The 26,012-nt window shown below is 44.3% G+C and overlaps 1 protein-coding gene across 9 annotated transcripts in view, besides 1 other annotated feature; it reads left to right on the plus strand.

Moving 5' to 3' along the window:
* The window catches only part of SYK (spleen associated tyrosine kinase), a 96,950-nt gene extending 71,149 nt beyond the window's left edge, over positions 1 to 25,801 (plus strand). For 8 of the 9 annotated variants that reach the window (XM_011518946.4, NM_001174168.3, XM_047423809.1 and 5 more), the window contains 7 exons: positions 1,456 to 1,543; positions 1,924 to 2,101; positions 4,823 to 5,032; positions 6,016 to 6,205; positions 15,001 to 15,141; positions 15,767 to 15,879; positions 22,780 to 25,801. In XM_011518946.4, the coding sequence (XP_011517248.1) occupies positions 1,456 to 1,543; positions 1,924 to 2,101; positions 4,823 to 5,032; positions 6,016 to 6,205; positions 15,001 to 15,141; positions 15,767 to 15,879; positions 22,780 to 22,852 (993 nt within the window). In that variant the 3' untranslated portion in view covers positions 22,853 to 25,801. Of the gene's footprint in view, positions 1 to 1,455; positions 1,544 to 1,923; positions 2,102 to 4,822; positions 5,033 to 6,015; positions 6,206 to 15,000; positions 15,142 to 15,766; positions 15,880 to 22,779 lie in introns of those variants that run through there. The other variant, XM_047423811.1, reaches the window with a different exon arrangement.
* Positions 7,404 to 7,616: a silencer, noted in NCBI's record as "fragment chr9:93642434-93642646 (GRCh37/hg19 assembly coordinates)". NCBI's record gives its function as "represses an EF-1alpha promoter that drives an FKBP-Casp9 reporter gene in an ReSE screen in K562 erythroleukemia cells {active_cell/tissue: K562}" and the evidence as "EXISTENCE:reporter gene assay evidence [ECO:0000049][PMID:32094911]".

Raw genomic sequence — 26,012 nt, forward strand, 5'->3', positions numbered from 1 at the left:
GTGATTTTCATTCATTCACCCATCCATTCATTCATGTGTTTGTTCAACACATTTTTATTGAGCGTCCTTGTGGACGTGGCACAGTTCCGAGTGCAGTGAATAAATGTCTCCCCCTCCTTGAGCTTATATTCTATTTTTATTTTTGATGTGTCATAGTTACTTCTGTTAATCAGTTCAGTAGAAGTGCTGAGATACTCTGTGACAAAACAGATCCCATCGACATCATTTTTACAAATAAGACCAGATGTCCTTTAGCCTTGTCAACAGGCTTGGGCCATGGTGAACAATGTCTGCCTCTGAAGTGCTCAGCAGACCGTGTGAAAGAAGAAGGTCCGGGTGTTTGGAAACAATGGCTGAGTGGCGGTAGTGGTGCATTGTGACCTCATTATTCTGCTTTTGGTTTCTCGCCTTGTAATATGAATAAGGCACATGAGGATTTAGTGTGTGTCATAAGATAAGTGACTGTCACGTTAAGCTTAATGTCTCTGTTTCTGTAACTTTCTCCATAATCTGGCAGTATCTCATTTCTTCGTGGCCAGTGTTTGGGCACTGAAAAGGTCAATCAATACATAGAATTGTGACTCAACTCACGCTGAAAAAAAAAAAAAAGCATCTGAATCATGGTTCTCCTGTGAATTAAATTTAGTAGCAAGAATCTTGTTTTAATTTGGAAGAAAGGGTGGGTCAGGAAAACTCAAGATAGAGACTTTCAAAAGGGAAAGTCCTTAGGATAATGAGTAGATTTCCCCCCCCAGTTGTTTCATGATATAAACTGATGTGGACCAAATAAATACCTGTCTCACAGGGGTACTGATTTCCAGCATTAGCTGTGGCAGCTGGAGCATTGCTGGCCTAGGTGGCAGCAACTGGCCTTCCCTTGGGACCTGTAGTTACTGACCAGTGCCACCCTCTGCCATCCACCCCAATGCTGCTGCATCTCCACCGAAGATAAAGACTTGGGTGGAGACTTGGAAAACATATGTGCGTTGGAGTTGGGAAGTAGGTAGGAGCAGCTGATGAGTACTAATTTTCCTCTTTAAATAATGTCCATGTAATATGAAATTGAAGAGCACAAGTTAAAGAAGGAAAATGCTTCCAAGGCGAACATGCAAATCATCAGCGATCTTTGGTAGGTGGGAATAGGATGTGCAAGGGGGTGAGTGGGGAAGCAGCTCTATCCAGGCCAGTAGAGTTGACTCTCACCACACCCTCTGAACACCTCACAGAGTCCCTTGAGTTGTAGCAGCACAAGCTTGCTTTAGCCCTTGCAAGATCCAAATAATTGCCCGAAGAATGAGATCAGCCTTATTTTCTTCCCTGTTTTTCGTAATTCTTTCCTTTGTCTTTCCTGCAAAAGTTAAACTGTGATTATTGGAAAATAAAAATAATTATGCAGATCAACTTAACAGTTTTGTGGATGAAGAAAAACAACCTGTTGTCCTTTATGTACTTTAGTCCTCCCCTGCCCAAGGGAACCGGCAAGAGAGTACTGTGTCATTCAATCCGTATGAGCCAGAACTTGCACCCTGGGCTGCAGACAAAGGTGAGACTTCCTTTCATTCAAGGGACATTCACAGAGCAAAGTGCGTGGTCACTTGTAAGTTTGTAGAGTTGGTTCACGAATCCACACCACGTCCGTGATTGCAATACAGCCACAGTTAGCCATGGAAACACTCACATCTAGTGGCAGGCAGCAGGCACCACATGCCCATGAGCAGTGATGGTGCTATTGAATGAAATGGTCTTTCCCACCTCCCTCACCCAACGACGTTGGAAATGTCCCTGCCACTCTTCAGAATTTCTCATCCCTTGCAACATTGATGCTACTCTGAGTTCATATTCCCATGAAGATCATGTTCTTGGAAGGATGAATCCTGGTGTGGGGTCCAGCCCCAGGTCGTATGTTTCTTGACTGCATTGCAGGCCCCCAGAGAGAAGCCCTACCCATGGACACAGAGGTGTACGAGAGCCCCTACGCGGACCCCGAGGAGATCAGGCCCAAGGAGGTTTACCTGGACCGAAAGCTGCTGACGCTGGAAGACAAAGAACTGGGCTCTGGTAATTTTGGAACTGTGAAAAAGGGCTACTACCAAATGAAAAAGTAAGTTGCTATGTTCCACCAGCCTCACCCTCACATGAGCTCAGGTTCTAGACATGACTGAGAATAACAAAATGTAACCTGGCATGACTAAACCCTTTTTTTATTAATGCTACCATTCTTGTTAATTTCTGGTACTATTATAATGAAAGCGTCCATTACCTTTAATGGCAAAAACTGCAATTACTTTTGCACCAACCTAATAGTACATGCACCTTATGGAAAATTAGGAAATAGAAACAAGCAGAAACATAAGAAAATAAAAACATCAAATTGGCATGGTGGCTCATGCCTGTAATCTTAGCAATTTGGGAGGCTGGGATAGGAGGATTGTTTGAGGCCTGGAGCTTGAGACCAGCCTGGGCAACATAGCAAGACCCTGTCTCTACAAAAAAAATAAATAAATAAATAAATAAATAAAACATAAAAAATTAGCCAGACATAGTAGTGCACACATATACTTCCAGCTGCTCAAGAGGCCAAGAAGCCAAGGCTGCAGTGAGCCATGATTGCACCACTGCACTCTAGCCTGGGTAACAAAGCAAGGCCCTGTTTCAAAAAACAAAACAAAAAAAAGAAAAGAAGAACATCATATTTGTATAATACCATCCCAACACTACTACTGTTAACTAAACATTACTACTGTTAACTTAATCTTATTGTATATATTTTTAGATCTTTATTTGTACACACAGATATTATTTAATTAAAACAAAATCATTCCATTATAACAATAGTTTTTACATTTATTTTCTTTAATTTTATAGTTACATCTCATTTTTCTTACATGAAAATTATTGATTCCAAATATGATTAGTATAATTATTTATTGGCTTTATCCTATGATTTCAGATAACAATACATATTATACAACAGTTAAAATTGCTAAATTTCGAAAATATCTTTGTATTTCTTTTGGTCTTTAGAAGGTACCCAACATAGAATGTACAAGTAAAACTACTGGTTTCTAAAGTCCTTTGAAATACACCCTCTGTTTGAATTGGTATGATACTAATATGAATGTGGTTAGATTTAGTAGCTTCATGGTATTTCAAATGTAAGGGATTTTTGTAAAAAAAAAATTCGTGAGTAGGTAATTTTTATGATTCAAGGGTTAAAAATATAGACAAAAATATACACAGACATGCGTGCTTTCCGGCCGGGTGCCGTGGCTCATGCCTATAATCCCAGCACTTTGGGAGGCCAAGGTAGGTGGATCACCTGAGGTCTGGAGTTCAAGACCATCCTGGCCAACATGGTAAAACCTCGTCTCCACTAAAAATACAAAAAATTAGCTGGGTGTGGTGGCATACACCTGTAGTCCCAACTACTTAGGAGGCTGAGGCAGGAGAATCACTTGAACCTGGGAGGAAGAGGTTGCAGCCAGCCAAGATCACACCATTGCACTCCAGCCTGGGCAACAAGAGTGAAACTCTGCCTCAAAAAAAAAAAAAAAAAAAGAAAGAAAGAAAAAAGAAATGCTTGCTTTCCAATCTGTCCCTTCGATTTGTTTTTGTGCATGTGTGTGTGTGTAAATTAGATACACATACATGTATGTATACACACACAAACATACACACATATGTATACATTCACAAGTATATACATGCGCACATATATACACACACAATCAAAATTGGCTGTGATACTTATTTTAAAATATATGTTTGTATATCACAGTCATTTTGTACAATGAGTAAAAATGTTTCTGTATTAATCCTAAGCTTTTTCAGATTATGAAAGGTTGTGATCTTTATTCTGTGCTTAAATTTGTGAATTAACATAGACATGACTGTGGACATAATTTCAACTAGAGAATTTGGGGAGAGGAGAGGCTCTCTCGGTCAATTTGGGGCAAAATGATGTCTTTACAATACTGAGTCTTTCAATCTATAAACACAGCCCATCTCTCCATTTACCAGGTCTTCTTCAGCCTCTCTCAGGAGAGTTGTTTACCTTTTCAATGTATTACATTGAAATATATGCTTTTAAATTCTGCACCTAGAAATTCACTTTCAACAATTATGAAAGGCATTTTATATTCACATTCATTACATGTAATCTGAGATGGTGAATCCCAAGATGTTACAGGAATTCGTACATGTCATCGTTGGTGAAGTTTATTTACAAGTTATTTAAATATTTTACAGTTTAGGGTTTTTGCTTGGTTGGGACATTCTTCAGTACTGTTCTTCACCATTCTTTTTATTTTATATTATTTTTTAGAAACAGTGTTTCACTGTGTCACCCAGGCTGGAGTGAAGTGGCAAGAAGCTCACTGCAGCCTTGAACTCCTGAGTCCAAGTGATTCTCCCACCTCAGCCTCCCGAGCAGCTGGGACTACAGGCTTGCACTGTCACACCTGGGTGATTTTTTTTAGAGATGGGGGTCTCACTATGTTGCCCAGGCTGACCTTGAACTTCTGACCTCAAGCAATCCTCCCCTTTCAACCTCCCAAAGTATGGGGATTGTCAGCATGAGCCACCATGCCCAGCCCCCACCATTCTTTTTTAGTAATGGAGTATTACTCTCATTGTCTATAAAATAAGGGAATATAGGTTGGAAGGCCAGCCATCCATTACAGGCTTCTGAAGACACATTGCCACTCTGTGGCAGGTATTTCCGTGGGACTGTTTCCACAGGGGGATTATGCTTCACAGGATAAGATTATCTAGAAGTGAGGCATTTTGGAAAGTTTCTTGTGTGTTATGATTTCTCTTGCAGAGTTGTGAAAACCGTGGCTGTGAAAATACTGAAAAACGAGGCCAATGACCCCGCTCTTAAAGATGAGTTATTAGCAGAAGCAAATGTCATGCAGCAGCTGGACAACCCGTACATCGTGCGGATGATCGGGATATGCGAGGCCGAGTCCTGGATGCTGGTTATGGAGATGGCAGAACTTGGTCCCCTCAATAAGTATTTGCAGCAGAACAGGTATTGTCAGGTGCCCCCACACATCTGGAAGCTATCCCCTAAGGGACAGGGCCCACCCCTGGATGGGCCGAGCAGCCTGATTTCCTTGGGAAGCCTTCCCACCCTCCTGTGCCTTCCTTTATTGGTCCATACTCAGGGACCTTGACAGAGGGACAGGGAGACATAGTCTTTGGATTCAGCTCTGTTAGCTCTAGTTGTTCAGAGAAGAACTCATTTGACAGTTTTGTCTTTTTTTTCTTCCTGTAGTCATTCAGTCTTGGCCTAGTGATAGACTCAGCCTCAGAATATCTTGACATGGAATCTCCTTTCTCACTGGGAAGAACACTTTCTTTTTAAAGAAACATTTTAAATAAATGCTTTTCTAAGAGGTGACAGTTAAGTCTTATCTGTTTGGCTGACCTTATGTTCTCATGAGTGATGACTTCTGAAAATACCAATCACTGCTAATTGATTACATCCATCAAGGGAGTAATTGTGTTCTTCTCATCTAAAGCTGTTGTTGAGATGAAGAAACTCACTTGGAGTAAGACAGAATGATGGCCACCGAGGAGCTTGCCTCATTTGCTGTGCTACGTTTGTACTTAGATTGTCTCTTTAGTCTCCATGGAAGGGAGGTGTTCTTACCCTGACTTTGTAGGTGAGAAACTGATTCTCAGGGTTAGTTCTGTGACCTGTGTGATACTGGAACAAGGATTTGAGGTGGTGCCTGGCTATCTGTGAGCCAGGCCTGACTACTCTGTTATACTGCTTTTCTTGCAATTCCAAGCATGCCAGGAAACTCAATCCCATTGAACACCAGGAGAATATGGCATTGAGTCCTGAAGAGCTATATGCTAACAAAGTTATTTGTCACCACTCGTGAGTTTTGTTGTTTAAGAAGAGGGAAGGAGTAGATTCACCCACTGCCTGCGTGAGGAGCATGGTTGTTTGTTGTGAAATGGGTCACTGTCTGTTATAGCTGATGAGATCATTATGACTTTCAGACATGTCAAGGATAAGAACATCATAGAACTGGTTCATCAGGTTTCCATGGGCATGAAGTACTTGGAGGAGAGCAATTTTGTGCACAGAGATCTGGCTGCAAGAAATGTGTTGCTAGTTACCCAACATTACGCCAAGATCAGTGATTTCGGACTTTCCAAAGCACTGCGTGCTGATGAAAACTACTACAAGGTAAGTACAACTTAGCTAATATTCAGAGCAGCAGGTGGTAAAAAATGCAAGATAAATGTACGTTTTCTTTATTTTATTATTGGTATGGTTTCAAAAAGCAGTTTTGCTACTGAAAAATAACTATGTAAGATATGTTCTTATAATCTTTGATTTTACTGTTTAAAAAATAAAAATAATATCACACCTTGAGATTTACTCAAAGTAGTATATTCTAAATTATGTTTCATGGAATGATCAGGAATCGAGGTATTAAGTGAAGATTTGTTTTGAAAAAAGAAGAATGGGATTCCTTCATTAAGTTAATTTGAAAAGTTTGCATTGGACAGCTTGATTCTTGCAGGATTTCCCCGAAGCCCTTTTCATGCTACTTAACATTACGAATCTCAGTAGAGGGTTTACTGCACTGCATTTCTCAAACCAGATTCATCCATGGCATCCTTTTCTGATAGGACATTTCATAACATGTGGTGGAACACTGTCCCACAGCATGGAGCTATTGGAGCTTGGAGCTCCAGTACTGCAGTTCAGAGCTCCAATATTGCAGCTTGGAGCTATTCCAAAATAACTTTCTAATGAACACCTACCTATACATGCAAAAGTTAGAAAGTGAAGATTTACCAAATAAACTCGTCATCTGTGTATGTCCACTACATATGTAGAAATTGTTCTATTGGCTTAACTGGTATCCAGAAGAGTTGAAGTGTCAAAAAATAGATGCAGTGCTGGAAAGAAGAGATCTAGATAGTTATGTGACTGAAGCTAAAAGAAATATGCCCCTTGGTTTGGTGAGGCAGAGATTATCAAGAATTAAGGGTGGACTTCCAGCAAAACATAAAGTAGAAACTAGTTCTGGGTGCAGGTTTGGACTTCCTAAAAAATAATTTCACAGTGACCAATCCCCTTGCTAATATAACTTGACCCCTCTCTGAACCCTCAAATGAACCAATAACAACTAAAAGAAGAAAAGATAAGAAAGCTCTATCTTCATATTAACTCATCTGTGGTGTATACCTAGGGTCTATGTTAACCAACTGGAAAACGTGATGGCACCAATCCCACTGAGTCAAAGAGGGTGCCGAAGGCAGGTTAACAACCCTGCTAGTCTCTGGTGAAGTCCACATGCTCAGAAATAGATGGCAGACCTTCAAAATCTACCTAGTGGGTGGCAGATAGGATCCTGTGTTTCATGCCCTGCAGTGGTCAGAGACCCCACCCTGAGTGACAATACCCACCCACTCACCTTTCCCTAAGAGGCAGTCCATGGACTGGTAGGTGATGGGGAATGGTGGACCTCGGCCAGCAAAGGGACTGCATGAAGGGTAAGCCACAAGAGCCAAGCTCCCAGGCAGGCAGGCAGACTCCACCATCTTGAGCACAAAGGCCAGGCGAGAGTACAGCAGGGGTCAGGCTGGCCCTCCTCACCCCATTCTTCATACAGTAGCTTCCCAGAAGGAAGCCCCTTCAGAGGTGAACCACTGTGAGAAAGGCATCAGCATGGGCCTGGATAGAAATAGCAGGGAAACAGAGCAAGGAAGACAGCAGCCTAGGATGACCAGCATGGGACATGCTGGAGAAAGAAGCCTGTTGTAATGCTGGATGTACCTCATCATGATCATTACAGAAAAGAAGACAGCCTGTCTGAAACAAGGACACAGAGGAGATAGAGAAAATGAAACATGAATGCTGGGCACCTTATCCACTGCTGTATAACAAATCACCCCAAACTTACTGCCAAAAACACCACCAGGTGTTGGTTTCCCTGCCGTCCTGCTGTGTGGGCAGGGCCAGGTAGGCAGGGTTCAGTGCGTCTGCTCACACAGGGGATTGCACAGTGGCCCGAGGGACAGGAGGACCGTTTCCACTCTGCTCACTCACACTACTCAGCCACTGAGCAGCTGGTTAGACACAGCCCATGCTGGAGACCTCTGCGGGGCTGTCAGCCAGCTCACCTGCACATGGCCTCTCCTTGGGGCCCTTGGGCTTCCCTTGGGCCCATGCTTCCCTTGGGCAGCATGGCAGCTGCGGGCTGAGAGCAGTTACCCAAGAGGCAGGAAGTGGGGGCTGCCAGGCCTATAAAACCAGGCCCAGAAACTACCTCAGGGTCACTTCCACCTGATCCTATTGGTCAGAGCAGCCAAGGCCACCAGCTTCAAAGGATGGGATAGATAGAACCACCCTTTTGAGGAGAAGTGTCAAAGAGTCAAAGAACATGGGGCCAATTCTAAAACTGCTGTAGATATTAAACAGCATACCATTAAAAAGTAAACTAAACTAAAAAGTAAACCAAAGATTGTCTTTGGACAATCAATGAAGAAAAAAAGCCACTAGGGAAATAAAAGCCATCTTGGAAGCAGCAAAAAGAGACAAAACTACCGAAAAGATAGGGTAGTGGAAGATTTCTGTATGAAAACAAAGCAAAGTGAAATGGAAAAGAATAAAAAGTGGGCCGGGCGTGGTGGCTCACGCCTGTAATCCCAGCACTTTGGGAGGCTGAGGTGGGTGGATTACCTGAGGTCAGGAGTTCGAGACCAGCCTGGCCAACATGGTGAAATCCCGTCTCTACTAAAAACACAAAAATTAGCCAGGCATGGTGGCAGGCACCTGTAATCCCAGCTACTCTGGTGGCTGAGGCAGGAGAATTGCTTGAGCCCGGGAGGTGGAGGTTGCAGTGAGCTGAGATCGTGCCACTGCACTCTAGCCTGGCCAACAGAGCAAGACTCTGTCTCAAAAAAAAAAAGGAATAAAAAGTGAAACAAGATCAAAGAAAAGTGCTAGCTGTGGAAGCAAACGAACGCTGGCACTCGGGAAACCATGCGTGACAGGGTAGATTTGTGCAGCATCACAACTGAAAAACACAGGTGTTCTTTGATCCAGCAGCTCCTTCCGAGAGCAAACACACACATCTGGTAATGTGCACTCTAGCACGGGCTGCCACGGCAAAAATCTGGAAACTGCCTGACGACTGCTCCGCAGGGTTTGGTCCAATCAGTCATAGCAGATTCACAGGAAGCTCACAATGCAACCCTTTTAAAAGTGACTTATTTGCATGTGCTGACCTAGAAATATGTCTACTATACATGGTTAGGTAGAAAAATTAAAAAGTACAGTGCTCAAAGAATATGCCCCTAGTTTTATGACCAGAAAAAAGTATACACTACCTATTTATGCATGTATCTAGGTTATTCTGAAGACAGCCTAAATTTCATTGCATTTAAGATTTGTCAAAGGTTTACTTTTTTCATCAGTTCAAAATTCAGAAGAAACCTGAAATAACACACATGGTTGTATTGTTCATGACTTGTAAGATCAAAATTTTAAAATAGCACACAAGGTGATGGAAACAGAAGTATAATCAGTTGTATCATTTGGAAGAGAAGTGCCAGGGCACCTTATGGTCTCCAGATTGATGTCCTGAATGTCTCCTTGTGATCCACTGTAGTGTCATGAAATCAGTTTTCACTGAAATCATGTCCCCCTCTCCACCCCAATGAGACCTCACACAGGTGACATCAGCAGAAGATAACCAGACTCCGCTGTGTGCCCCCTGAATCCCAAACCCAGAGAGAGGGTTTTGCTATGCAGTTTTGACCTCTGTACTATCACTTGCTTTTTAAAATTAGGAAATTAGAATGCTTAGATCATTTTTTAATGATGCTAGCAAGTAGTGCATGCTAAAATAATTGACCTGGGTGGAGAACTGATCAAGATGGACGACTAAATGCAACTAGTATATGCTCCTCCGTAGAGACGGACCAAAATAACAAGTACATATTCACACTTCCAATAGATGGTCTAAGAGAGAACACAGATGCAACCAAGGAGCGACAGGAAGCACCAAAAGCAAAGCACAGGGAAACAAGGCAGCCTGCTTGGCCAGGAATGACTGGGAGCTGGGAGAAGCTTCCAGATATGGGGAAAGCATAAATGAGAGATCCCCAGGGCTCCACATTCCAGCCAAGGACTTCTACAATCCTAGCGACAGAAGAACCCCTCGACCCACGTGGGCCTTAAGACTAACATAGGGAGCTGCCTAGGGATCACACAGAGGCATTGCTCCATAGAGGGAACTCACGCTGAGTCCCACAGGCTTCCAAGCTCTGAGTAGCTGCAGCTTGGTGCCATACTGAGAACCAAGTCCCCAAAGGACTGCATCTTGCCCTGGGACTATTGCTGATGCTGCCATCACCAGGCCAAGGACAGAGGGGAGAATGGACACCTTCACACACCCCAGGGACAGATCCCCCTGCTGCTACAGGCTGCTGTGGGGCTGAGACACAAGCAAATCACACCCCCTATAGCTGCCTGCCTACACTGCTCCCCCTGAGAATGTCCGCAGCCTCCCCAGGAGCAGGCCCATAGCCAGCGCCATTCTGAGAGCCAAGCCTCCAAAGGTCTGTGTCCTTCCTTGGGCCAGGGCTGATGCTGCCACTGCCCCGCCACATAGGGAGAAGGGAGGCCAGGCACTTTCACATGCCACAAAAACAAATACCACCACCACTGCTGAGGGCTGCTGTGGGACCAAGGCTCAAGAAGACTGCATATCCCACAGCTACCTGCCTACTCTGCACCTATTGAGAGTGGCCCTACCCTTTCTGGTGGTAGGCCTTCAGGGCAGCCACTGCTGGCAACCTAGAGACCACCCCTCCCTGCGTATCACAGCCAGCAGCTGAATGCACCACCAGGGAGCCTGAGCACAAGTCCATTGGCCTAGTCACATGCCCCAATACTTGAGCATGACATCCTGTTGCAGCCACCGCCAACACCAACATGGACCACTTGGGTTCCAGTGAGTTGCCCTACCACCATTACTGCCATCACCCACATCACACCCACTCCCCAGGAACCCAAGAACCTGCCCACATGCCCAGCCACTGCAGCATCCACACAATCTACCTGAAAGCCCAAGGGTCAGCCTTCTTAGACCTACTAACACCAGTGCTAGTGTATACCGCCCTAGGGCCCAAGGACAGGCATACTCAGCTCACTGCTGTCACCACTGGGGTCTGAAGACTGGCCCACCTAGCATCCTATTCACAGTACACCTTCACAACAGCCTCCACTAATAACCATACCCTAAGGCACTGAGAAAATCACAGGTGTCACTGAGGCTGTTTATGGCCATAGAAATTATACATAGATTAAATACTGCATTCACCCCAAATCAAACCCAAAGTGCCCTACATATATATATGTGTGTGTGTATATATACACACATACACATACGTGTATATATACACACATACACATACGTGTATATATACACGCATATACACATACACATACGTGTATATATACACATACACATACACATACGTGTATATATACACACATATACACATACGTGTATATATACACACATATACACATACACATACGTGTATATATACACACATACACATACGTGTATACATACATACACACATACGTGTATATATGCATACATACACATATGTGTATATATACATACATATACACATATGTGTGTACATATACATACACATACACATATGTGTGTACATATACATACACACACATACACATATGTGTACATGTACATACATACACATACACATATGTGTACATGTACATACATACACATACACATATGTGTACATGTACATACATACACATACACATATGTGTACATGTACATATATACACATATACACATATGTGTACATGTACATATATACACATATACACATATGTGTACATGTACATATATACACATATACACATATGTGTACATGTACATATACACATATACACATATGTGTACATGTACATATACACATATACACATATGTGTACATGCACATATACACATGTGTACATGCACATATACACATATGTGTACATACACATATACACATATGTGTGTATATACATATACACACATATGTGTGTATATACATATATACATATATACATATATATACATATGCACATATGTGTATATATACATATATATACATATGCACATATGTGTATATATATACACACATATATGTGTATATATATATATACCCAACATATATATACCCAACAACATATATATATTTTCAGGAAAAAGACCTCCTCTACAAAAGCAATTTCAAAAAACTGGAAGAAATGACTGTTGTACCACATGGGCAGATATCAATGTAAGAACACAGGAAACATGAAAAAGCAAGGAAATATGATACCTCCAAAGGAACACACAATTCTCCAGCAAAAAAATCCCAATCAAAAAGAAATTCACAAAACCCCAGATGAACAATTCAAAATATTGATTTTAAAGAAGCTAAATAAGATATAAGAGAATTCTGAAAAACAATAGAGAGAATTCAGAAAAACAGTTCAGGATATGAATGAGAAATTTATCAAAGAAATAGATATTTTTAAAAGAACCAAACAGAAATTCTGGAACTAAAGATTCATTGAATGCAATAAAAAATACATCCCAAACTCCACCAATAGACTAGATCAGGCAAAAGAAAGAATCTCAGAACTTGAAGACAGGTCTTTTGAAACAACCTATTCAGACAAAAATAAAGAGAAAAGAATAAAAAAGAATGAGCAAACCCTTCATGATATATGGGGCAGTGTAAAGCAACTGAATATTCAAATCATCAGTGTCCCCAAGGGTGAAGAGAGAATGAAAGATTAGAAATCCTATTTAATGAAATATTAGATCAAAACTTCCCAAATATAACAACAAACCTAGACATCCAGATGCAGGAGGCCCAAAGGTCCCCAAACAGATACAATGCAAAATCATCTTCTCCACAGCACGTTATAATCAAACCACTTAAAGTCAAAGCAAAAGCAAATATACTAAAAAGAGCAAAAGAAAATCTTCTAATTACCCATAAAGGAACCACCATTAGACTAACAGTGGATTTCTCAGCAGACACCTTACAGGCCAGGAGAGAAGGGGATGACATTTTCAAAGTGCTGAAAGAAAAATACTGCCACCCAAGGAGACCATGTCCAGCAAAACTATTCTTCATAAATAAAAGAAAAATAAAGCCTTTCCCAGGTAAGCAAACACTGAGGGAATTCATCACCACTAGACTGATCCTAGAAGAAATACTCAAAGGAATCTTAAACGTGGAAGTAAAAGGACAATATTTACCATCATAAAAACACACAAAAGTATAAAACTCACTGGTAAACCAAACATACAAATAATCCTGTTAAATAGTGGGCTAAGAACATAGATAGACATTTCTCAAAAGAAGATATACAAATGGCCAACAGGTATATGAAAAAATGCTCAATATCACCAAACAGCAGGGAAATGCAAATTACAAACACAATGAGATACCATCTTACCCCGGCTAGAATGGCTGTTATTAAAAAGACTTTTTTTAAAAAAATGCTTTGCAGATGCAGGAAAAAAAGGAACTCTTATACACTGTTTGTGGGAATGTAAATTAGTATAGTCACTACGGAAAATATTAGAGAGACTTCTCAAAACAAAAACAGGCTGGGCACGGTGGCTCACACCTGTAATCCCAGCAGTTTTGGAAGCCCGAGGCAGGCAGATCACAAGGTCAGGAGATCAAGACCATCCTGGCTAACACGGTGAAACCCTGTCTCTACTAAAAATACAAAAAATTGGCCAGGCCTGGTGACAGGTGCCTGTCATCCCAGCTACCTGGGAGGCTGAGGCAGAAGAATGGCATGAACCCAGGAGGCGGAGCTTGCAGTGAGCTGAAATCACACTACTGCACACTCCAGCCTGGGCGATAGAGTGAGACTCCATCTCAAAAACAAAAAGAAGAAAAAAAAACTAACTACACATAGAATTACCATATGATCCAGCAAGTCTACTATTGGGTATTTATCCAGAGGCAAATAAACTTGTATCAAAGGGACACATACACTCAACGTGCTTATCATAGAACTATTCACAATAGCAAAGATGTGGAATCAACCTAACTGTCCATGGATGGATGAATGGATAAAGAAAATGTGGTGTGTATATATATATATACACCTCTAGAGGTGTTCACTGGTTACTTAGGGTACACCCTATGTAAATGAAGAGGCTAAAGTGAAGTTACAAAGTTATTTACTTGGTGTACACCCTATGTAAATGAGGAGGATGAAGTAATGTTACAAAGTCATTTACTGAGTGTACACCCTGTGTAAATGAAGAGGATATTTCCTGTCATAGCTGAAGTGTTTCCATTTGATTTAGTTCTAGGAAGTCCTTAGGTTCCCTGCCTCCAGGCCCTATTCTCCTGTCTCAATTTCACTCAGCATAATGTCCTCTAGGCTCATGCATATTGTAGTGAATTCCCTTCCTTTTGAAGGCTGAATGCTATTCCATTGTCTATATAGAGGGTGTTTTGTTTATCCACTCATCTGCTGAAGGACACTTGGGTTGCTTTCATGTTTTAGCTATTGGGAATAATGCTGCTATGAACATGAATGTACACAATTTTATGCTTTTCTTTCTTTCTTTTTTTTTTTTTTTTGAGATGGAGTCTCTCGTTGTGTCACCCAGGCTGCAGTGCAGTGGTGTGATCTGAGATCACTGCAACCTCTGCCTTCTGGGTTCAAGCAATTCTCCTGCCTCAGCCTCCCAAGTAGCTGGAATTACAGGCACCCGCCACCACACCTGGCTAATTTTTGTATTTTTAATAGAGATGGGGTTTCCTCTTGGCCAGGCTGGTCTCAAGCTCCCGATCTCAAGTGATCTGCTCTCCTCAGCCTCCCAAAGTGCTGGGATTACAGGCATGAACCAATGTGCCCGGCCCACAATTTTATTCTTAATGGAATTTCTCCCTCTGCTTTGCTTTTAGGCCCAGACCCATGGAAAGTGGCCTGTCAAGTGGTACGCTCCGGAATGCATCAACTACTACAAGTTCTCCAGCAAAAGCGATGTCTGGAGCTTTGGAGTGTTGATGTGGGAAGCATTCTCCTATGGGCAGAAGCCATATCGAGTGAGCCAGTCCTGCTTCATTTTCTCACTGTGGGGCCATTAGAACAGATAAGCACCAGATTGTCTTTACAACAACCTGAAAATCCTAATCTGAGTCTCTCATTATCTTTTACCAGTAAGCAGTTAATGTGCCCTCAGTCTATTCCAAACTGAGAATGAAATATCTGATGCTCACTGAAGAGTGTGTTTTTCCCATTGTGTGTCAACACATGTAAATATACACAAAATATAACCCAGATCATTACTCATTAGAGTTGAAATAGAAATAATGACTATTTACAGTATCTTAATTACATTTTTTAGATCTTTTAATTAAAACATATATACCAAAAAGGGCACAACTCTTAGCATGCAGTACAGTGGTTTTCCACAAATGAAACATACCCATGAAATCAGCCCCCAGATGAAGAACAGAACCCCAGAAGCCTGTTTCCTCTGCACACACAGCCTTCCCCAGGGGTGACCCAACTGACTCCAACATCACAGATTAAGTGCTCCTGTTTTTATACTTCGTATAATTGAAATCATACAATGTGTACTCCTTCATGTCTTGGAGTGGCTGTTTTGTTTTGTTTGACTAACACCTTTAAAAAAAAAAAAGCTTATGCATATCTTGCATGTTGTAGGGGATGAAAGGAAGTGAAGTCACCGCTATGTTAGAGAAAGGAGAGCGGATGGGGTGCCCTGCAGGGTGTCCAAGAGAGATGTACGATCTCATGAATCTGTGCTGGACATACGAGTGAGTACCTGACACTGACTGTGATGTATTCAGATGCTCTGGAAACAGGTGAAATGGTTGGGCGTCTAAAAAAAAGGATAAAGTTCACCTTTTCATGAATCAGGAATGTGCCCGCTTTCTAAACAAACAACGGTGGGGGCTGGTCTTGCTTTAGAGACCTTGCTTTCTGGCCCATGCACTTACATGTAGTAGAGCCTAAAGAGCAAGTTTAGATGGGGACTCTAACCCGAGTGTCCAAATTTAAATGTCGATAATGGTGGAGAGATGGGGCAAGGGCAGTCAAAGTAAAAAAGTGTTTGTAAGAGTTTGGGGCTGGATGCCATTTTTGGCATAGAGGATGGCAGAAGCACTCGGTAGGGGATGGTATACTTTCCTGACTCCCTGATTACCATGAGCAGTGAGGGGTGACCTCGGACTCTGGCCAGCTCACAGATACATTGGCTAAGGTTGCACTTCCCTAGAATCTACCTCATCCTTGAAGTGGTGGCCTCAGTCCACCCTGACTGCCGTCATACGTCTCGCTTAGTGGATCCCAGGTGCTGTTATGCTTTTAAAGTACACCTGGCATTATTCTTAGGTGATGTTCAGGGCAGCTCAGCAAGGAAGGAAAATGCATTGCCACTGAAAATTAGGAGTACAGTTTTGCCAGGCTCAGCAGCCTGCTTGTGCGTGCATAGCACGGTGACCCCAAGCCGCCATCTCCAGTTCCCTGGTACTGAACTGTGCACACAGAGCCCACACAGCTGAGAATCGATGTGGTTTGTGATCAGGAGGACATCACAAATCCTGGCCATGGATTTGATGCTTTGCGGAATCAGGTTTGCCTTCAGATACAGCTGACATTGCCAGAGCCTCTGAAAGATGAGGGCTATTCCAAATGCTGCAGATGCCACCTGGGATTCCGAGACCTCCCCTCCCCACCCTGGGAGTATCACTCTACCACAATTGTGAGTGACAGGGAAATAATCTCATTCTGTATCTAGAAACCACCCAGGGGGCAGCCACAAAGGCAGCAGGCAAACTGTGGGTATATGCTTCCCTGCCCCTGCTGCTGCCGTGGCTCAGGAGAGGAGCCTGGCCTGGGCCCCGGAGCATCTTCTCCAACCCCAAGTGTTAGTGCAACAGGGAGAGCTAAGTGTCAGCAAGAGGGAAGTGCTACTCATGGATCTAAGAGGATGTTTATTCCTAAGTCTTGGCTTAATTCTCCCAGTGCCTAAACTAGAATCGTAAGAACCATTGGCAGGTAGGCACTGGCAGCACTGGACCCTGGGGAGGGCAGCCCTTGGGCACGTGGCAGCCTATGACCCTTTACTGAAAGTGTTCTTTGGTCCAGCCTGCAGCTCCCTTTGCAAGGCTTCCCTTCTTGTAGAAGGGTGAGGAGGGTAGAGTTTAAAACATTGTGATACAAATGCAAAAACTTTGAATTAAAAATGAACTCGCAGTGGGGGAGTTTTTGCATTTAACGTTGATGCTGATCTATGTACTTCTGTCGATTCTTCTTTGTGGTGTGTGTTTAACAGTGAGGAGTGAAAGGTGGGTGGGAAGAGAGCAGGGTGCGCAGCCAGGGGCACCACCTCCCACTTGGCTCCCAGGTGGGTGCAGTGAGGCTGCTGAATACCCTTTGGGCTCGTGGTGTATTCTTGTGACTCAAGGAATCAGGATAGGGGCTGCTGGGCCGACCTCTGTCCTCCATGGACGCACGTAACAGTGGGCAGTTATTTCCAGAGTGGTCCACCAGGGGCAGACCGGGGAGGGAAAGCAGTCTACGTGATATTCACTGGATGTTCACCAGAATTACAGCAAAGTAGAGCAGTAGAACAGTCTCCTTAAGAGAGTATTCTTTCTAAACGTATTTTCCCGCCTGGAGATTTAAGATGGAACCTGAGTGAGGTTCACAGGCAGGCAATGTCTTTCCCCTTGGTTCCCACCCCAGTCCGCTCTGCAGGGGTGCATTTCAGTGAGTTCTGCAGGCTTGGAGGAGTCAGCTCCAGGGCACAAGCCCCAGTCAAAAGGAAATCATGACAATGGCCCATGCCCCATATTAGAAATCACAGCTCTTTATCAGACTTTGATTTATTTCCCAACAAAGCTATATTTCTGAAGGTTACAGTGTTTCTAGTAGTGACCTCAAACAGGGTTGGGGGAGGTGGGGAGATGTTCTGAAACTTTTGAAGCAGCTGTGTTTGTCTGGGGTAATACCTGAGCTCGTTGCCTCACGCCAAGGAAATCAAAGATGCAGACACACAAGAAGTGAGTTTAAGAGCAGAGGTTTAATAGGCAACAGAAAAGAGAAAAGCTCTCTTTCCTGCAGAGAGACAAGGGCTCCCAAGTGGTTCTTCCGGCTCCGTGTGGAAATGCAAGGGTTTTATAGACGAGCTTGAGTCTGATTACATAGGGCCCAAAGATCGGTTGGACAGCCAGGCCATTTACATAACACGAAAAGAAACTGGCTGCCCCACCCTAATCTTTTATTATGCAGATGAGGTCTCTCCTTGGCCGACGCCATGTTGCCTGCTTTTTTTTTTTTTTTTTTTTTGAGACGGAGTCTCACTCTGTCGCCCAGGCTGGAGTGCAGTGGCGCGATCTGGGCTCACTGCAAGCTCTGTCTCCCGGGTTCACACCATACTCCTGCCTCAGCCTCCCGAGTAGCTGGGACTACAGGCGCCCGCCACCACGCCCAGCTAATTTTTTTGTATTTTTTAGTGGAGACGGGGTTTCACCGTGTTAGTCAGGATGGTCTCGATCTCCTGACCTCATGATCCGCCCGCCTCAGCCTTGTTGCCTGCTTTTTTACTGCACACGTGGCAACAAGGAAAGTGGAAGAGGGAACCTCCATGTTGAATATCCCTGGCTCCAGGGATCCCTTTTCTATTGACACAGCTGCCGGCATTTACCTATGTGAGCTTTTAGCTTGCTTAGCTATGCTTGCAGCTTGATTTTTCAGGCTGCTTTTTGTTATAAAAGACATGATTTAGGAGCTGCTTTTTATTGCAAGGAAACCTTACAGAGGACTCTGTTACCCTCACTATCTGCCTAAATAATTTCTTTCTAGCTCTGAATCACTTTGTCTAAACATAAGAAATTCAATGAGGTGCAGTTGAATGAAAAAAAAGGAAAAGATTCCTTGGAGCAGGGCCACAAGGAGAACTCAGAAGCGCCAAGGGCTGGTCCTGGTAACCCAGGCTATTGCTTGAGGCCCTCCAGAAGATGCAGGGGGTCCCTCACTGCAGGCATTGTCATCAGTTCCAGGGTGTGGTCCTGGAGGGAATTCAAAGGGACTTCCCAGCCTCAATGACAAAGCCCTGAGAAGGCAGACAGCATCCCTCACCCTTGTAAGACAGCCAGAGATTACCTCCAACCCCTTTTTAGTCTTAATGGACTCTTCAGCTGGACCTAGAAACCAAATTGATACCAGGCCAGATTAACAAAAGAAAAGCTTACCAATTTTACTAGTTTTACATGTTTATGGGGATCCTCACAAGACAGTGAAGTCTAAAGAAGTGGCCAAAACAACATGCTTTTATAATCTTTAGACAAAGAACCATACATTTAAGGAGAAATGACAGGACAAATAAAATCTGGCTAGAAGGAGTAAATTTTCTAGAGAAGGCGCTAGGAGATATGAGGAGGGTGTAAAACCAGTGGAAGATAAGGGATACTGTGTTAAATATGTTTACTCAGGCCCATTGCAGCTCCAATGCCCAGTCTCTGATGATAAGGGGCATTTTCTCATCCTGCTACAGGAAGGGTCTCCTTCCCAGAGGAATCTTTATGGCTTGCTGCAGGCATGAAGAGACAGGTCAGTTAGTCCTATCCGAAACTACAATGTATCCAATATTTTCAACTCAAAATAATCAATATCCCAATCTGGCATATTTTGGGATGGCCCATGCTTCACTCCTTCCCCCTCTCACTTTCCAAAGAGGAAACACAACATCAGAGTCCTGCCCTGTGCAGGTCACTCAAGGAGGCAGCGTGAAAGCCAGGAAGGAAACACTGGCCCTAAGAAAAGCAGGAATCAGTCAGGAAGCCTTCCACTGTAGTGTTTTCCAGAGCCAAGTCATGCTTGGGGTGATTAAAGACACCAGTGGGGAAAGCCCTTGCAAATGGAGAGAAGTTGGTGCTCTTGATCCTGAAAAACGGTTTCCTAATAGTCCCAGCCCTCCAGTGGGGGCCTCTGCCGAATGGAGAAATTTCCTGGGCTCTCCAGGTTCTCTGAGAGTCAGGGAGGCTCTAGATGCGGCTCAAATTCCTGTTTAAAGATCAACAAGCCCAAGATAAAACATGAATTCCCAGGACCTTGGTGAGATGTCCCCTGGCTCCCTGCACAACCTCAGCTCCAAGGCTTTCCTCTGAGCGGCACATCCTCTGAGAGCCCTGGGTCATTCACAGGGTCGGTGGCCACTGCCGGAGCTCCTGCTATGCAGGCTGCCACCCCAGGTGCAAGCCTCACAGAAGCCTCAGACCCTGTCCCTATCAGACCTTATAGTTGGGGCTGGGGCAGACAGGCAATAAACAATAAGCTAAAAATAAGTGTGTCCTATGATGTGTCTTAGGAAAGGGATGACTCCAGTGGGAATTCTAAGCAAGGAGGGCACAGGGGCCTGGAGGATATCACGTGTATATATGGGGTTTTTTAAGCCCTCTCGTGTCGAAGTAGTTTCTCACAGTTGCCTGCAGCACAGAAGCACATTGGAGCTTCTAGAATGTGGTGGATTCAATGAAGGGACTACAGGTGGTCCTAGTATATTCTCTGTTTTGTTTTGTTTTGCTTTGTTTTTTCATTTTTTCCTCAGTAGTAAACAGCCACTCTCTCCAAGGTGATATATAGAGACAGACAGAGAGAGCGGGAGGGAGGTAGATGAAGGGAGAGAAGGAGGGAGGGAGGGAGAGAAATAGTCTCATTAGCACAAACCCAGGTATGGTTGAAGGGGGTTTATTATGAGTAACAAAAGATGCTGCTTTCAGCCCAACAATCAGGAAATTCCAAGGGTTTTAGGAGCTCTGTGCCAGGAACCCAGGATAAAGACCATATATCTCTTTATATAAAATCACACACTGGAAACTTTAAAAGAGAACAGAAAATTATGGGGAGGGAAGCCTCACACTTCCAGCAGGGGCTCCAGATAGGCCGCCTTTAGGGATTGCAGCTGAGACCTGCAGGCTAAGAAGCAAGGTTGAGTGCAGGGATGAGGGGAGAGGAGGAGGGTCACTGGGTACAAGGAGCAGAGCAGAATCTGCACTCTGGCCCGAAAGCAGAGTGGCAGGCCAGGGCAGGCCAGGAAGCTGGGCACGCAAGGGCACTGCATCACCCTCCTGCTGCTGAAGCACAGCTGTGTCCCAGCTTCCTGGAGGCAGCATCTCCCATGGATGTACAGGAGAGATTTCCTAGGAGACCTGACCAGGTGTTTTTCCTGAGGACGAGTCTGTATTCCTGTTTCCCTGCATTTGTTTGCTCCTTGGCTGCTGGGCAGATGAACCCCCAGAGCAAGATCCAAAGGTGCTCTTTGTACCATTTGGATCCCCACAGTTGGAGCAGAGCCCCCTGTTTTGCAAAGATGCTGAAGTGTGTTCTCTTTGACTGTAGAAGTTTAGGAGCAAGACAGAGGCTGTCCCTCTGGGTGGACACATGCTCCTGTACCAGAGGCTTGGCCACCATATCCCCTCTCGGAACACACTTGGTGGCCAGAGACAAAGCCCCTCTCAGTGACACCCTGGGAGGCCCGTGTCCCCAGACATGACCACAGATGGCTGACCACACTGATCAATTCGAGCAGTTTTATCATTTTGCTCACTATTGAAAGCTATAAGAGAAACCATGTATTTTGATGCCATTTGACAAAGCTACCCATTTTGATTTGTAGAAGCCACTCTGCTCTTATAATGATGAGTGAGTCTTGGTCCTGATGCGCGTTCTATGGCTGTTCTCTTGTGTCGACATTGAATCATATGAAATTGCCATTGATATAGGTCAAAATGGCTGAATGTGGACGGTTTCCTACAATTTAACCTCACATTCTGTTTCACTTTTTCACTTATTGTATTTCAACTTCACCCACTTGCAATATATCCAGAAATCTTGCAAAATAAGAAAAATAACTTCTAAGTGAGGATCGATTATCAGGGTTTTAGTACTTACTTCCAACTGATCTGTACAGGATGTCTGTGTAAGACAAAACAGAAGTGTCTGTAAGTGTTTGTTTAGAGACTGCGAACTGTTAATGCTTTTGCCCATAGTTTACTGACATTAGTGCCTCCCTGGCCAGCAGTGGCAGTAAGGACTGGCTATATTAAGGTGGATCATAGACAAGCCCTGGGTCTTTGCTCCTGCCATGACATGTTTTGAGCTTTCCTAAGAACCCATATCAACAGCCCATTTTCAGAAAATCCAGAGCCATCGATTAGAGCGTGGAAAGGGAGAATTAAAGTTATGTTCGTATTTCTTCTCTTAACAAGATTATGAGTCAGATGTTGACTATATCTGCAGAACATTTGCCAAGTATTTTCAGACACCTGTTTTGCTAAAATCACAGAGTGACAGCCTCTTCGTGTTGCCTGTGGCACAGAAGCATATTGTGTGCCGCATATCTGAACCTGGGGCTAAAACACTCCCAGTTCTAATGCAAAAAGTCTCCTACTTTAGGGTGGACATGAATCACCGGGAGGTCTTGTTAAAGTGCAGATATGGGTTATTTAGGTCTACAGTAGGCCGACACTATTTTTGACAGCCTTGTGGTCACCCTGGGGTGGGGGGCACAGGGACCACGCTGTGAGCTGCAGGCCCTAGAGTTAGCCACCAGGGAGCAGCACCACTGGTACTCAGCCTGCAGAGGCCCTGCTTGTGATCAGCAATTTTTCACAAGCACATTGACAAACAAGAATGCATCTCTTCCATTCCAGTGTGGAAAACAGGCCCGGATTCGCAGCAGTGGAACTGCGGCTGCGCAATTACTACTATGACGTGGTGAACTAACCGCTCCCGCACCTGTCGGTGGCTGCCTTTGATCACAGGAGCAATCACAGGAAAATGTATCCAGAGGAATTGATTGTCAGCCACCTCCCTCTGCCAGTCGGGAGAGCCAGGCTTGGATGGAACATGCCCACAACTTGTCACCCAAAGCCTGTCCCAGGACTCACCCTCCACAAAGCAAAGGCAGTCCCGGGAGAAAAGACGGATGGCAGGATCCAAGGGGCTAGCTGGATTTGTTTGTTTTCTTGTCTGTGTGATTTTCATACAGGTTATTTTTACGATCTGTTTCCAAATCCCTTTCATGTCTTTCCACTTCTCTGGGTCCCGGGGTGCATTTGTTACTCATCGGGCCCAGGGACATTGCAGAGTGGCCTAGAGCACTCTCACCCCAAGCGGCCTTTTCCAAATGCCCAAGGATGCCTTAGCATGTGACTCCTGAAGGGAAGGCAAAGGCAGAGGAATTTGGCTGCTTCTACGGCCATGAGACTGATCCCTGGCCACTGAAAAGCTTTCCTGACAATAAAAATGTTTTGAGGCTTTAAAAAGAAAATCAAGTTTGACCAGTGCAGTTTCTAAGCATGTAGCCAGTTAAGGAAAGAAAGAAAGAAAAAAAAAAAAGGCCTGGATACTGCTTTTGCTGTCTCTGTTATGAGATGGAAGACTTACATGTTTGTGATAAAAGGGGACCATGAGAATGAATTGGCTTGGCTTACTTTCCCCCTGAAATCCTCTCTCCTGCAGACTGTCTTGAAGACCTGGTGACTGGTAAATAAAGCCCTGCATGGAGGCTGCACAGCAGGGGCAAGAGGCCCATCCCCCAGCATCTCACTGAGGACAGCTTCAGGCTGCCTTCCTCTGAACGTGGTCCACACCTTCCTCTCCTCCACAGAGAGGGTGCCGCCAGAATCCCCTGTCGCTTTCTGTGTCTGCAATGGGGGGCAGCACAGGGATCAAAGCCATCTAAAGAGTTTCCAAAGAAAGTATTAATTCAGAACAAGCCAAAGACCCTGAGCCTCACCACAAACAGGCCTTTTGGAGTGTGAATTTGAGTTGAAGATACAAGATCGGAGAATGATTTTCTGGTCTTAACTAATCCTCATCTTCATGTTTGATCTTTAAGAAGTCATCACCCATTGATTTCAGTTTTGCTGTACCTCTTGAAAGTTAAAGAGACATCTCAGCACTTTAGGAGGCCGAGGCGGGTGGATCACTTGAGGTAAGGAGTTTGAGACTAGCCTGGCCAATATGGTAAAACCCCATCTCTACTAAAAATACAAAAATTAGCCGGGCATGGTGGCATGTGTCTGTAGTCCCAGCTACTCGGGAGGCTGAGGCAGGAGAATCGCTTGAACCCAGGAAACGGAGGTCGCAGTGAGCCAAGATCATGCCACTGCACTCCAGCTTGGGCATCACAGCGAGACTCTGTCAAAACAAACAAACAAAAAAACAACTTAAAGAGGTAATTTAGCCATCATTCTTATGCCAGCAGATATAAATAAACTTGGACCCATCTGGTCTTCAGCTAAACCTGAGACATTTTAAAGTGCATGGACAGCCATGGACAGCAGGCCCTCCTCTAACAGGGGATGCAAGGCATGGAGAAAGACAATCAGTACCCAAGCTCAGCCACAGAAGACAGGAGTCACTCATATAACTTGTGTTTAGAAGTTTTTGGTAGCCACGCACACTTTCTGAAATCACACTATCTGGTGGTTTAATCATATTTTTAAAGACAGAATCCCTGAGTGCTGAGCAGATTCTCAAAACACATTTAGAATCCCTGAAATTAGAAAGATCAATGACAAAATATCTGTCAGCCAGGCCACAAACAGGTGTAAAATTATGAAAGGAGTGGTTGGATGTGCCAAGTTTGGTAAAGTGGTGACTGCATCTGAGAAAGAGGCTGTGAGGCTGAACTCTTGGTGGCTTCCTTCTGTAACTTCCAGAGGGAGTCTTCAACACAGGCCCCGTGCTCGTAGGAATACGGTAGCACCTATGTAGGAAGTGCGTGGAGTTTTCTGTCTTCTTTCTGTGTGATTTTTGGCCTTTTTATCAGCACTTCTCCCCTCCCAGGAGCCTGGGGATGCCAAACATCCAGAATGTGATGGGACAAGATGGGGGCAGGGGCCTCACCTCCCTGCAGAGGTCCGGCCAGGTCTCCTTGTCCCTGGACAATCTCCTGAGCCTCTCTGCTTGGTGGAGCAGGCACCTGTGTGCAGAATTCCCACTGTGGCCAGCACGAGGAAGTCTTTTCTAGTGAAAATGTGTCTTGTGGTCAGGAATAATTATCCTTTCCCCTGTAGCCACCAAGGAGGGCAAATAGAGAAAGGTAACCTAATTGAAGGATTGGTCATGTGAAAAGGGCTACATTTGGGAAGCTGGGAAAGGCCTCCAGGCTTCTAGAGCAGCTAGCTTGGGCTGGATTCTCATACCCAGGCTGCCCCTTGGATTGTTCTACCCAAGCTTTTCCCTGGGGTCTGGGCTCACTCCATAAGGTAAGGTGCCTTTTACCTTATGGTCCTTCTTTAGCAGGTAACAAAGGAGCATCAGGGGCAGGCTGCCCTGGTGGCATCACACTGGCTAGTGAGGCCGTGAATATCTTGTCCCCCAGCAGGGCCGACAGTTTCTATCACAGAAAACAGTGTGTTCAGTGGTGAAAATCGTTGCATGCATGTTTTCATCTGAGCGTGTCCTTCTCCCATACTCCCTATCAGCCAGCCCTGCCTGTAGCTGCTGTATGGTGATTGCACTTGGACATCAGTCCAATGACTGCAAGTCGGCCTGGATTTTCACTTGCAGAGGCTACAGCTGCATTGTCAGGTCTCCCAGCCCTGCAGAGAGCTCCCTCCACTGGTTAGCAGTGTGTTGTGTTTTCCATTCATTTCAGAAGAGCTACATTGTGTCACTGGACATTTTTAAAAACTGTGATTTTTAATAAAAATTTAAAATTTGCTTTGTGATGATTTTCATGGAAGTTATTAGGATGTGGTAAGTCACACTGTCAAATAGTGTCAAGCAGCATTGTCAAAGGGGTAGCTAAATGTTTTCTAAAACATTAAGTCCCTGCCATGTCCCAAAAAAGTGAATGTGTTGGCCGGGTGCAGTGGCTCATGCCTGTAATCCCAGCAGTTTGGGAGCCCAAGGCAGGAGGATCTCTTGAGCC

The sequence above is a fragment of the Homo sapiens genome, chromosome 9 (genome assembly GCF_000001405.40).
Source record: "Homo sapiens chromosome 9, GRCh38.p14 Primary Assembly".
NCBI classification, from domain to species: Eukaryota; Metazoa; Chordata; class Mammalia; order Primates; family Hominidae; genus Homo; species Homo sapiens.